The following is a 13,910-nucleotide window of genomic DNA, read 5'->3' on the forward strand; positions in this document are numbered from 1 at the left end:
ACTCAACATACTGTTTTGCCATTCACCTTCTAACCTAACAATAATTGTTGTTACTGAATTTTTTAAGTTTCTTTTATTATCTCTGATAATTGGATACTCACTTATTGACTATAAGAATGCCTTATTAAATAGAGTAAAATGTAATTTATATGTCAATTAACCTTCTAGGTCCTTAAAATGGTTCATTTTCTGGCAAGGTTCAGTATAAATATTTTAATTTACTCAACACAGTGTTTCCCAGTACACAGAAAAATTGCAACTAAGGGGGACATAAATTAAAAGGGTTTGTGAAAAGGGTGAAAGTGGCTTGGGTTTTCGGCAATTCTTTATATATTTGTGGCATTCGAATTATGATAATTCAGCTACAAAATTGGTAAATCTACTCTAAGTTTTCTAGAACTTCTCTGTGTTGTGCCTATATTTTGTAACATGATGGCAGCTTCTGCTCATCTCAGATGGCTGGGTGGCAGTCAGGTTAAGAATGTGCTCTTCAGAACACCTGCGGATCTGACTGGTCACCCAAGGATTATGCTTATGTCTAGTTCAGTACTCAATATTATTGGGAGTGTCATTGACTCCTTCCTAAAAGCAAGAATCGTAGTCTGTGATTGGAACTCTCCATGCGGATTTTTTAAAGCAGTGAGGCTAATTTAAAAGTATAGACCGGGCACGGTGGCTCACGCCTGTAATCCCAGCACTTTGGGAGGCCAAGCCAGGCAAATCATGAGGTCAGGAGTTCAAGACCAGCCTGGCCAATATGGTGAAACCCCGTCTCTACTAAAAATATAAAAAATTAGCTGGGCGTGGTGGCACGCGCCTGTAGTCCCAGCTACTCAGGAGGCTGAGGCAGGAGAATCGCTTGAACCCAGGAGGCGGAGGTTACAGTGAGCCGAGATCACATCACTGCACTCCAGCCTGGGCGACAGAGTGAGACTCCGTCTCAAAAAAAAAAAAAAAAGTATAACCATTGGGCTATTTAAAGAGCAATACTATACACAAAGTAAAATCTGAGGTATTCTGCTTTGTGGAGTAATATAACATCTAATGTACCAACAAAATCTTTATTTTCCCCTAATCTAGAGGCACCTTGTCAGACAAATTATTATATTCTAAGGTCTGTAATCTCAACAAATCTCGCCTTATGTTGAAATAAGAATAACTTAGCTGCATATCCTCTATCCAAGTTGAATAGACTAAAATACTGGTGTTGCTAGATTTTAAAGAAGATGCATTCTTTTAATACCTTCATTGTAATTATTGTTGGTAAAATCGGTCTGGTTCTAGGTTTGGGAATTAATCCTCATGAGTTTCTTATACTAAAAAGCAGTATTTTGCTAGCTGAAGATCACCTTTCACTTTTATAAAGCATTTCACCAAATGTGCTTTTCTATTCCAGCGAGACAAGAAGTTTCTCCATGGATTATAGGCAATTTTTCAGGAACAGAAAATAGACATTCTTCTCTGGAGGATTTTCTCTGACCAAAGTGGCATCAAAGAATAGATATCCTTAATAAGAACTGGCGACTAGGAAAACATTGGACATAGATGTTATCATGCCAAGGAGAGTGCTGTGGTGTGTAGTCGGCCACCCTTAGTGTGAAGTACTAGTTGTTATAGCTAATCAAATAATTATAGGGTAAATTATTTTATGCTAGGCCAAAAAAAAAGATGATTCAAAAGAACCTAACCATTAGATTTGTTTTGAAAACACTGGTAACTAAAAAAGCATAAATGTTAATGTCTCATTCCTTTCTCCTTCATCGGTAGTGTGGGCAACCCAAAGAAAATGACCCTGTTTTTCAGATGTTTCCACTAATTGTTTAGGAAAACAAAATTGTTTCCCATTTGTTCTTCTGGGAACAAAAAAAAAAAATGGAGCTGTCGTTCTTCAAAGTGTGTAAATGGTCAAATTGCGTTTTTGTTTTTTAAACAGTCTTGTTTCCTGAGCTGAGAACTCATTACCAGACTTACCCTGCAGTATGTTTTGTCTGCTAAATTAAAGCAAATCAAAACAAAACAACAACAAAAAGCCTACCATAACCTGCATGTAGGTTTTTAGCAGTAAGGAACTACCTGTAACAGATGCTTAGACATTGTCATGTGAACAACTTTGTTGTAATAAACATAAACAAGAGTTGCAGTGGGGGAACCACAGGAACTGATTGATCAGACTTTAAGGAGAGCCATTATACCATAAGCATCAGGACTGTTCAGGGAGTGTCTGTTCAGGATGTTGGAAAGCTCAAAGTGTGTGATGGCTGTGGAGGTTCTGAGGCTGCTGCTGCTCCCCAATACCTGATGCCAGGTTTTATAGCAGCTTACGTTTTAGTTAAACAGTGTCTTTCTCTTGATGTCTTTCTTGTTACCTATTTTCCTAAATAATTTTTTTCTTTTTTTTTTTTTAAGGGAATCATTTTGTAGGAGGGGGGAAATAGATTTCAATGTTGAAACAAAACCTTGTGAAGGAGATTTAATGCCTTGTTTAGGAATGTGAGTGGTTATAATTAAACTGATTCAATTCTCAATAAGGTCTTGAGCAGTACTGGCAAGCATAAAAATGGCTTTTGCATGTATTTTATGGAATGTATGTAATTAGCCTTATTTTCTACTTGTGTTCATAAGCCATGTGAATAAACTCAGGTACTACTTATAGAACTTTATTGCTTGAGATCTGACTTTGCAATTGCGATTTTCTCTGTGCTTTTGAATTGAAGAAGAGATTAAGTGGGACCCCTGGAAGTCAGAAACAAGTTAAACATAAGCCTAATCAAAGTCCCAAGATGTTGTGAAAGATGGTTTGTTTCGTTTTAAGGGCAAGGTTGTTGTTTTGTTCTTTTGGGGGCTGTCTGAAGTAGGACTGATGATCTTAGGGCGTCAGTATTCATCGTTCTTGTTTCCTTTCAGTTAGTGTTGGAAATTTATTAATCAGGTTGAGTAAAATATGAATCCTGCCCCAAAGGCTTTCCTACTTAGTGGAAAAGCTGTGATTTATAAAGACACAGTGTAATGAAATAAAGTGATAATGAAAAGCCTTGGGCAGACTGGCTGTGTAATATATTTTAGGCAATTTACACAGGTTGGTTTAATTATTATTATTTTTGTTCTTGTCAGAATTGTCCTTTCTAATAGTAGGATCCCTCAAACTATCCTTGCTGCTGGTGAAAATAGGCTCCAATTTTTTCTTAAAGTCCAAACCATTCCTTTAAAGGCTAACAGATGTTTACTCTCCAGTCAGTGAAAGGTGATATTGAAGTATAGTCTTAATTAGTTACTTTCCTCTTTGCCTTTAAACACCACATTAAGTGCAAGTATATATGCCTCCCTATGGGTTTTTGACCAAAGCACACACCCATACCCCTTCCTGCCTCCCTGGAACTGGTTCAAGATTTGGAGAGAAGAGTTTGCTTGTGGGTGTTTCCCTTGTCTTATCTGTGAGTGAGCATATGCTAGGGTTGAATTTATTTTGACGCTTTCATTTTAAATTTGGAACCAAAGTAAGAGTTTAAAGTGCAACAGAAGAGAGTCTGCTGAACTTTAGACATGAGGGATCCAGGGAGGAAGGTGCGTAAATACATCTTGAAGCTTTCTCTAGAGGTTTTCTCGTACAGGTGACCATCTTTACGCATATACATTATTGTAAGCTAATAACTACTACTCAAAGGAATATTTAAAGCTATATGAAAATGTGTGTGGTACTTATATCATGTTTATGTGCTTAATTTTAGTAGCCGTGCCTCTGGTATTTCACACTTTTTACATTAATAGCAGAATAAGTAAATTTTGAATTTTTATTTCAAAGCCTTTTAGGAAAGCTTAGGAGGCTGGGTATTTGCAAGCGGAAAAATGTATCATGTATGATTGATCCTCAAGGGAATGATGAAAAAGTTATATAGGTATTCTAAGCATCTTACCATTTTGTCTTCTATAGCATCAAATAAAGAGACCTATAAATGGTTATTAGGTGAATGTTACCCAGGTTCTCCTCAGTTCAGAAGCAATTCTTTCTTTACTGATTATTATTTATCTTTGTTTATTAATTTTAAGCACAGTTGCTTACATTTGTAGTAGGCTGAACTGTTTTCTTTCCTGACTGATCTTTTCCAGAGCCTGGCCCAACTAGAGAATCTGTGCAAACAGCTGTATGAAACCACAGACACAACCACTCGACTCCAGGCAGAGAAAGCCTTGGTTGAATTTACCAACAGCCCTGATTGCCTGAGCAAGTGCCAGCTACTCCTCGAAAGAGGAAGTGTGCGTAAGATCTGAAAATCCTAAAGGATAACAGGCGCTTCGGAAACGTTATTCTGGTTCTCTGTGTAGGAATGGCATGGGATGGCTTCTGTTCCCTGATTTTTCTAGGTGTCCCTGACTTATTTTCACTTTTAAGAAGTACCATACCTACCAGGTTGGCAAAACAGCCATACAGTCTCATCAAGAAAATCTCTTTGAACATGCATTTCTGTTCTGTAATTTTTCATCCTAAATTTCCAGAACTTGTTTTCTGCTTTTACATTTAAGTGCCACATCCTGTCCTTTCCAGAATAAGATAGGACTGTAGATAAATGACCTTTGTGTTTGTTTATTTATTTATTTTTGAGACGGAGTTTCGCTCTTGTTGCCCAGGCTGGAGTGCAATGGCGTGATCTTGGCTCACTGCAACCTCCACCTCCCGGGTTCAAGTGATTCTCCTGCCTCAGCCTCCCGAGTAGCTGGGATCACAGGCATGCACCACCAAGCTTGGCTAATTTTGTATTTTTTTTAGTAGAGACGGGGTTTCTCCGTGTTGGTCAGGCTGGTCTCGATCTCCTGACCTCAGGTGATCCACCCGCCTCGGCCTCCCAAAGTGATGGGATTACAGACGTGAGCCACCACACCCGGCCAATAAATGACCTTTTTAATCCAAAGTCCTAGTACAAGATCCTCAGTCTTCTCTGTGTTTTGTGTCCTCTCTGCCACAGCTGCTGTTTATTGCCTTACAAATCCAGGAACAGTGACCTTGACAATGAAATTACAGGAGATTGTAGGATTTTAAATGGAATTAGAACCTCCTCCAGCTTAAAAATGGCATTGCAGTGATCAAAATAATGTTCCTGAGATACAATTTGAAAAAATCACTATCTTTGGCAAGATGGAAGTCTTGGGAAGGGTGGGATCCCCCCAGGGTCCCATGAAAGGGCATCATGAGAGGCATATCCCAGCTAGACTTCAGCAGCAAGCACTGGCCTTCTTTTGATAAAGTGGCAACATAAAGTGCAGTCCTCATATTTTTCCTAATCCTCAAACAGCTTCCCAGTCGTGCTTACCTATATTACGCTCTTTCACAGATGAAAGAGAAAACACCAAGAAAAGGCACATATATTAGCCATCATTCTTGTGTGTGTGGAAAAAGGTGAAAATAGAAATGATAATGCCATGTGGTATTCTGAACAACAGTAATCCCTAAAGAATTGCTTAATCAAAATTTGCTTTCCAAAAAGTATCCTTAAGACTGGAATGAAATGTGAAAAAATGAAAGTTAATTGGTTGAGAGGATAGAATTCTAGTTGACTTTATTTTTGACTTTTTATTAGTATTATAATATTGTTTATACAGTAAATAGAACAAATTATAATTGGTTGAAATTATCCGTTAGTAGCTGAGGGGTATAACTTTTCCCCCAAATATCTGAATGATACAAAGTCATGGTCAAAGACTGTGTGGTGGTCTGTTCTGTTTTACGCACATAGTGTTTTATATATTGCTCTTAAATCACTTGGTGTTTGGATTGATGCACTTGTATTTGTCCTGTGGGAGATGCCCAGCTAGCTCTGCCAGCTAACTCCTGCTGGAGTGACAGTACAGTCTCTCTCACCACTAGTCTTAAATTTTTATACCTGGTGGTATTATGTAATATTAACATAAATGGATAGTCTGAGGGACTACCATCTTAAGGACTTTCTGTGTCATAGAAAATTGTCCTTGACCCTTGATTAAAATACTTTAATGCTTCTGAGCCTGTTCCTGTTTTATGGCATTGTATATAATATAGCCACATGGAGGAATTCTTCCTTAGGCATTTTGATCACATGGAATGCTTTGAGTCTCCGTAAGGTTAAAACTTGTTAAACCCACATTTGAGAATGTGATAAAGCTATTCCATTGCTTAAGGCATAATTCTCCTTTCTCACAAATAACCTTAAGTTTACTTTTAAACTATCATATACATTCCCCAGCCCAATAGCTGATTGATAGCTGCGCTGATGGAAAGATACAATTTGGAGACAACTATACAGCATAGTGTGATGGTTTCCTCTAATACTTCTTTTCTTTTTTCCCCAATATCATGCCATAGAAATATTTTGAGGTGAAACTGTTTGAAATATCATTATAACAGATACTAAGGGGAGATTTCTTGGTTTAAATGAGGGGAGAGATTTTTTCTAATCTCTATTTTTCTGAAAAGATGCCCTCTAGTGTCTGTCCCTCAGAGTGAAGCAGATACCTGTATTAGATTCAGCTTGATCAGACGGTTCACTTTATCTTCCCCGTTGTTCATTGTTGAAGTCAGCTAATAAACTTATGCTATGTGGTTCATTTTTCCTCAGAGCAGTAGACCCTCTAAAATCCAGAGGATCAAATCTGCCAAAACTGATTGCCTTTTCTTGAATCTGAGCAGAGATCTCCAAGTTAAAAACCTTGTGACTGGCTTACTCAATACAATTTTAAGTCCTTTTTCCCTCTCTTTTCACAGTCCTCTTACTCCCAGTTACTGGCAGCTACATGCCTTACCAAGCTTGTATCACGCACAAACAACCCCCTACCATTGGAACAGCGAATAGATATTCGTAAGTGGAGAATTTTCTGTTCTGTCTTGAAGAAAATAGTTTGTTTAGTGATGTGCTAGTAATAGTCAAATGTACGTGTTTGTTCAATGATATGCTGAGATTGCTAACCATACAAAATGTCTAGAATCCAGTTCGTTTCCAGAATTTGGGGCTTATGAAAGTGAAGGGCCCGACGCAATAACTTCTGGATAAAGCCTAAGTCCTCCCTTTTGTTATCGGGAGATTTCTTCATTCATCTTTTCTTTACTGCCACTAATAACTAAGAAAAACATTGTTAATGATTTTGAATTCTGTGTAGACCACGTTCTTTAGCTACCTAGGGATAGAGTCAAAGCAGCTATACTGCAAATTCTTCATGAGACAAAATAAAATTCTGAATTAGAACACCTACTAATCTTAAATTTAAAGTCCCATTTGGAACAGTAGCATAAATAATTAAGACAGTTTGGGTTAAATAGTCTAAATTTATAATTTCTTGGCCATTTAGCATGTCTAAAGATATACACCCTTCTCTGGCAGAGCTTTCTATTATGTGGATTGGTTTTGTTTCTTGTTTTTTTTTAATAGGGAACTATGTGCTCAACTACCTTGCCACTCGGCCGAAGTTGGCTACTTTCGTGACACAAGCACTTATTCAGTTATATGCCAGAATCACAAAACTGGGCTGGTTTGACTGTCAGAAGGATGACTATGTCTTCAGAAATGCAATCACAGACGTCACAAGGTTTTTACAGGTACAGTGTATATATTTGATGTAATGGGAATGGGAGAACCAGCATATACATATATATAAACACACACACACACACACACACAACTTAACACGCTTATCTACTTTTTAAACATGACACAAAATAGAATTATATGATATATTCTCTTCTGCATGTTTTTTACCCTTAATAGGTCTTGGTAGTGTTTGCATGTTGGCAAAAACAAACCATGTCTCAGTCTTTCAAATTCCTACATATGGTCCCAAGCAAAAATATGTTTAATTAATTAGTTAATATTTTATAGATGGGCATTTCTTTCGAGTGTTAAATTAATACTTCAGTGAATAGCCCAGTACATATATTTTGAATAAGTGCGTTTGTAGGGTCAATTCCTAGCCTTGGAAAGATATTTCCAAGTTATCCTCAAAAAAGTTATACAGCTTGCACTTCATGATGATGTTTTCGTCAACAGTAGACCACATATACAACAGCAGTCCCGTAAAATTATAATGGAACTGGAAAAAAAATGGAGCCTAGTGATGTCGAACTGTCTTAATGTTGTAGCACAATTTATTTTTTAAGTAAATTTAGTGTGGCCTAAGTGTACATATTTATAAAGTCTGTAGTGGTGTACAGCAATGTCCTCGGCTTTCACATCCACTCACCACTCACTCACTGACTCACCCAGAACAACTTTCAATCCTGTAAACTCCATTCATGGTAAGCGCCCTATACAGGTGTAGCTTTTTAAAAAAAAAATCTTTTATGCTGAATTTTTACTTTATCTTTGCTATGTTTAGATACACAAACACTTACCATTGTTATAGTTGCCCACAGTATAGTCACGTGGTGTACAAGTTTGTGCCTAGGAACAATAGCCTGTACCATACAGCCTAGGTGTGTAGTAGACTGTACCATCTAGGTTTATGTAAGTACACTCTATGATGTTAGCACAACAGTGAAATCCTCTAATAACACATTTCGTAGAACGTGTCGCCATCATTCAGTGACTCATGACTGTATCTACTTCCACAAACAGTTGATAAGAGGACCTGCTTACCTCAGCCCTGGAAGCTAAACTTAATTTTTCTAATTTAATAGGTTAAAAAAATTGGTATCTTATTGTTTGGGTTATGAGTGAGACTGGATAAATTTTGATATGTTTATTTATTGCTTATATTTGTTTTTCTGTGAACTTCTATTTATATCTTAACCACACTTCCTCAGATTCTTTGCTTATTGTTTTATGCATTCTCTTTATAAAATGTGTTGTTTACTTGTCATTTACTTTAGTGATGTGTTTTGCAATTTACCTTTTAAAAATGTATATGCTATAATGCTTATGGGAATTTTTTTTAATGTAAAAGTTTTAAATTTTGATGAAGTCAGATTTGACAGTCTTCCTTTGTGGTGACAGTTAGGTTTTAAGTCCAGCAAAACAACAGTTTTAAACTATGATTCCTTGCTGCCTTGTCTAGGCAGTTTTACTAATGACACAGGAACCCGTCATTCGAAAGTATGAGTGCATTCCAAATGCCAAAACCAAGCACACATGACAACTCTTTCTACCTTATACTTTTTTTAACCAGGATAGTGTTGAATACTGCATCATTGGTGTCACAATTTTATCTCAGCTAACCAATGAAATTAATCAAGTAAGTGCTACAGCCTTCCTCATTGAAGTAAGTGCCATATTTTTTCTTAGTATTGGTGTTTTCTGCTGTGTGTGGGATGATCTTTTTTGGCAGTTGTGTGCTTTTGCGGTAAGTGATTAATGCCCTTTTGAAACAAAATAGTTCCATTGGGTTTTCCTCTGTAATTGCAACTCACCTCACTTTTTGTCCTGTTCCCTTTCTGTCTCCAGGTTGTTTTCCCCTTTTCCATCTTAGCTTTTTTTTTTTTATTGGTACTAATTATCATTTTAGAGATAAAAGCGATCGCAGCACTTTGGGAGGCCGAGGCAGGCGGATCACCTGAGGTCAGGAGATCAAGACCAGCCTGGCTAACATGTTGAAACCCTGTTTCTACTAAAAATACAAAAAATTAGCCGGGCGTGGTGGCATGTGCCTGTAGTCCCAGCGACTTGGGAGACAGGCAGGAGAATCGCTTGAACCCGGGAGGTGGAGGTTGCAGCGAGCCAAGATCGCGCTGTTGCACTCCAGCTTGGGCAACAAGAGCGAAACTCCATCTCAAAAAAAGCAAAATACTACTGCCTTGCCCATGAAGGAGAATGACTTCAAAAAAGAGACCATAAAGGTCGACCTTTTGTGTGCCCCTTCTGCTCCTATATACTTTAAATTTTTTAAATGGTCATTGATGCCACAGAATACTACAGAGGAAACACCAGTGGCTTTCTTTTGTCCTGGCTATATTTTAGTCATTTACTTTTTTATCCAGCTAAAAATTTGTGATTATAGAACAGGCCCTTATCAATATTAGCTATAACATCTCACCCTTAAGTTGGAAGCATATTAATGATATCAGCATTACTGTTGCTATTGCTCATAATTCTGCAGACATTTTTATTAACCCTGAGAAATCTTAACTGTGAGTTGGTCCTATTTCAAATGTGTTAGCTTAGAGCCTGTGAAAATTGGGAGTCCATGTTGTGTTTTCTTGCCACATGCAATCCCCGTTGTGATCAGTAATTACCAAAATAATAACAGCTTACACTTTTGAGTGATTACTGTTACCACCATTCTAAGCACTTTATAGTAACTAATTTTATTCTCAGAACAGTCATATGAGGTAGGTACTGTGTTTATCCCATTTTCTGGATCAGGAAACTGAGGCCCATAAAGATGAAATCATTTGCCTAAGGTTTCACAAGCAACAGATGTGATTCAAACCCAAATAGTCTTATTCTAGGGCCTGTGTTCTTAACAACTAATGTACTATTTAACCACTCTTATCTTTGCAGCAGAAGAGCAGATGCATTAACTAAGGATAGAGATTGTGGACTTAATGTTTTCCCCTTTGAAGCTTGGCCCCACAGAGTACATAAATTTTGATATATGTATAATAAAAAACTTCAAGATTTTACTTTTCTAAGAAAGTGATGAAATTTTGTGTAGCATTTAGTGTGTAATCATTCTCTGTGTTATGATCAATATAACAGATTGTATGATACATAATCTAGCAAGACCTTTATTATCTAAGACACATGATAACACAATGACAGAAGCAAGAATTGGAGAATATTTTGAGCCTCTAAATAATTTGAATTTTCCATTGTTTTGTGATTGTCAGATTCAAAAAAGAAAGTATATTTCTGTCACTATTCTTACTTAGAACCTAGAAATAAAATTAAGAAGACTTGATTGTCAGTAATCTTGCTGCCTTACACTTTAATGTGGAAAAAACAAAATGAGTCTCCTCTTGGATGAATTGATCAGTAAACAGAAGAGATTTAAGCTTTCAGTACATGGTTAGACTGAAAATACTCCTGACAACTTTGAAGTTATTTTATTCCACATATTGAATGCCTACTGTGTGTTAGGACTGGGAGCATACTAAAGAAGTAAAAGATTTAGTTCTTAACCACAAAAACATAAATTTAGCTGAAAAGACAAGAACAGGGAAAGTCAAAGACCAATACAACTACTTAAATTAAGTTTTCACTTCTGGGGTATAGAGAATATGTTGAAATAGGTTAGAAAAGGAGGTGAATATTATGGGCTGTTGTCATTTGTAAATTCTGCAGTAACTTCAGCGTTGAGGGTTTTTTTTGTTTTTGTTTTTGTTTTGAGTTTTGCTTACTGAAATCAAAGAGTTGTTACTCTGTCTGTGGGTGTTTAAGAGACTCTGCTGCCCAGGCTGGAGTGCAGTGCAGCCACGAATGCCTGGGCTCCAGGCCCTCCTGAGTAGCTAGGACTTACAGGCATGCACCACCACACCGATTTTTTTATTTTTTTATTTTTATTTTTTTTAGTTTTTAGAGGTGGTGGGGGGTCTCACTGTGTCTGCTTCTGGGCTCAAATGATCCTCCTGCCTCAACCTCCCAAAGTTCTAGAATTACAGAGGTGAGTCACCACGCCTGGCCCATTAAGCCACAGTACAACATGAAAGTAATTATCAGTAACGTCTGCCAACAATTTAAGTTTTACCTCCCTGAATACAGAGGAAAATAAGAATTTGCAGCAGAGATTATCCATCCTTTTGTTTTCCCTCTGTAAGCTAGAGAGAAAGGATACCCTGGCTATTAGCAGTTTACTATCCTCCATCCTTTCACTAGATAGCGTTTCACAATAATTTAAATGTTAAAAATGTATTTTATGTTTATGTTGCTCTTACTGGAAATCCTTCTAGCTTATAGGAAGTCTACATGAAAAATTCTTTTTTTGCAATTAATTCTTTGCATTGGTTTCTTCTTTTTCTGCACAGGCAGACACCACCCATCCTTTAACCAAGCACAGAAAAATAGCCTCTTCTTTTCGCGATTCATCATTATTTGATATCTTCACACTTTCCTGCAATTTACTAAAACAGGTGAGCATGTAGTTTGGGTCATATTTCCCAGTTTCTTTTGAAAGAATGAGAATGGATGGGAACTTGTTAAATGTCAGCTTTTAACTGATCCCACGAGAGTTTATGCATCTGTTTAATCATCATCTCTTATATAAGACTCATAGAGGCGTTGAAGAAACTGGTCAGAGTGACCACTGAGGTTGGAGAAATGATTGTCACTTCCCTGTTTAAGCTCAATTCCCCTAGGTAAAGAGCAGTAAGTGAGCATTTATCCCATACTCCTATCTTAAAGGGATCTAGTTTACCTAACTCAGAGTTTGAAGTTGTGTTGTTATTGTTTTTATAACCACATAAAATCTTTCTATATGGTGCGAAAGCATGTTAGTTTTATGGTGTTTGGATTCTTAGTGCTCTGAAAGTAGGTTCAGACTATGTTGTTAGCATACAGAAACCAGGCTGGTTCCCCTGTCCCCCGCTGAGTTAAAAGCAGCACATAAACAAGTAACATCTGTAAGGAAAAGTAGATTTTGAATTTTTAACATCCATTTAGATTTAATAACCTGGAGGAGTAGACAGTATCACATAAGGAAATTACCTGTGTTAAAATCGAAAGTTGGTGTTTTCAATTCATTTATTGATAGAGCTGAACTAAGAAAGAAGTGTTAAGCTGGGAGTTCCACACAGTTGTAACACAGCTCGGATGCTTTATCCCTAAGAAAGCTAAATAGGGTTAGCCTCTGGTTTTTTGTTCATTTTTGTGGTTTTGTTCTTATTTTCCAACATTTCCCAATTTTAGTTTTGGAAGCCAGTTTGTATTCTTTCTGTTATTCCAGTTAACGATATTCATCTTTTTCCTCAATTACTTAGTTTTACCTTAGAATTCCCAAATAATCCTCAGGTTAAGCAAAGCTGCCTAGCAAAAGCTGTTGCACCCGCTGGAGGGGAAAAGCTTTTGAGAAAACTAAGGATTGAATCCTCCTTACTGATACCATCAGGAACAAATAATTAGCCAGCCAGTCACGGAGGCTCAGCTGGTATAACCTTGGAATGGGACAGGCACAGTAGCTATGGCCAGTACTCACCTGTAGTCTGCAGGTACATTGCAATGAGTAAATAAAATTCACTGATGATTTTAATTCTGGTTTGAGAGATTTTTGGTGATGGTGGTTGTAAAAACGAGGAAAGAAAGTAGGGCAGGGTGTTAAGCATCCTCAGAGCTCCCTCCAGAGTTTAATCCCAGCCCTGTCTAGAAATAACTAAGATCTCACATGCCAATAAAATGACCACAGGAGCCATATTGCTTCAGAATTCTCTGTGACCATTATGTCTACATTGTGTGAGGAGTATAGTAAGTGTTAAAACAGGGCTTTCTTTAAATACCAACTTCATGTTTTTATAGTAAATATGTTTTAATAGTATATAAGGAGCTAGGTATTTTCATAGTCACAGGTGATAGAAGTACCACATCTTTGGAGAGAAGGGGACATTTTACTGTGCTAACATATAGCCCTCCTTTTCTGACTTAACAGCTTTGTTGAGTCTGGGAGCAAGCTGGGAAGAGAGGAGTGATTTTGGGGACTCATTATGTGGTAATTTTTACAGGCTTCAGGAAAGAATCTAAACTTGAATGATGAAAGTCAGCATGGCTTGCTCATGCAACTGCTCAAGCTCACTCATAACTGCCTCAACTTTGACTTCATCGGCACTTCCACTGATGAGTCCTCAGACGACCTGTGTACAGTGCAGATTCCCACCAGCTGGAGATCAGGTAACAGAACTTCCTCCACCTCAAAGGCTGTCTGTCACTCCCCTACAGAGTGTCTGTAGAATGATCTAAAGAACTCCTGGCAACTCCTGTGTATTCTGAGGGAGAATTGAGAAAAAATTCTAACGTCTTTTTTTGTTTGTT

At 37.4% G+C, this 13,910-nt stretch overlaps 1 protein-coding gene across 4 annotated transcripts in view; it reads left to right on the plus strand.

Annotated features, from left to right (window-relative positions):
* Positions 1–13,910, plus strand: part of XPO7 (exportin 7) — an 86,924-nt gene that overhangs the window by 43,091 nt on the left and 29,923 nt on the right. For 2 of the 4 annotated variants that reach the window (NR_156173.2, NM_015024.5), the window contains exons 2-7: positions 4,105–4,251; positions 6,731–6,824; positions 7,392–7,558; positions 9,124–9,189; positions 11,918–12,022; positions 13,604–13,769. Coding sequence is in view for 3 of the 4 variants with exons in the window: in NM_015024.5 (NP_055839.3) it covers positions 4,105–4,251; positions 6,731–6,824; positions 7,392–7,558; positions 9,124–9,189; positions 11,918–12,022; positions 13,604–13,769 (745 nt within the window). In the remaining variant the exon portion in view is untranslated. Of the gene's footprint in view, positions 1–4,104; positions 4,252–6,730; positions 6,825–7,391; positions 7,559–9,123; positions 9,217–11,917; positions 12,023–13,603; positions 13,770–13,910 lie in introns of all 4 variants that reach the window. The other 2 variants (NM_001100161.2, NM_001362802.2) reach the window with 2 other exon arrangements.

This window comes from Homo sapiens, chromosome 8 (genome assembly GCF_000001405.40).
Source record: "Homo sapiens chromosome 8, GRCh38.p14 Primary Assembly".
In the NCBI taxonomy this organism is placed as follows: Eukaryota; Metazoa; Chordata; class Mammalia; order Primates; family Hominidae; genus Homo; species Homo sapiens.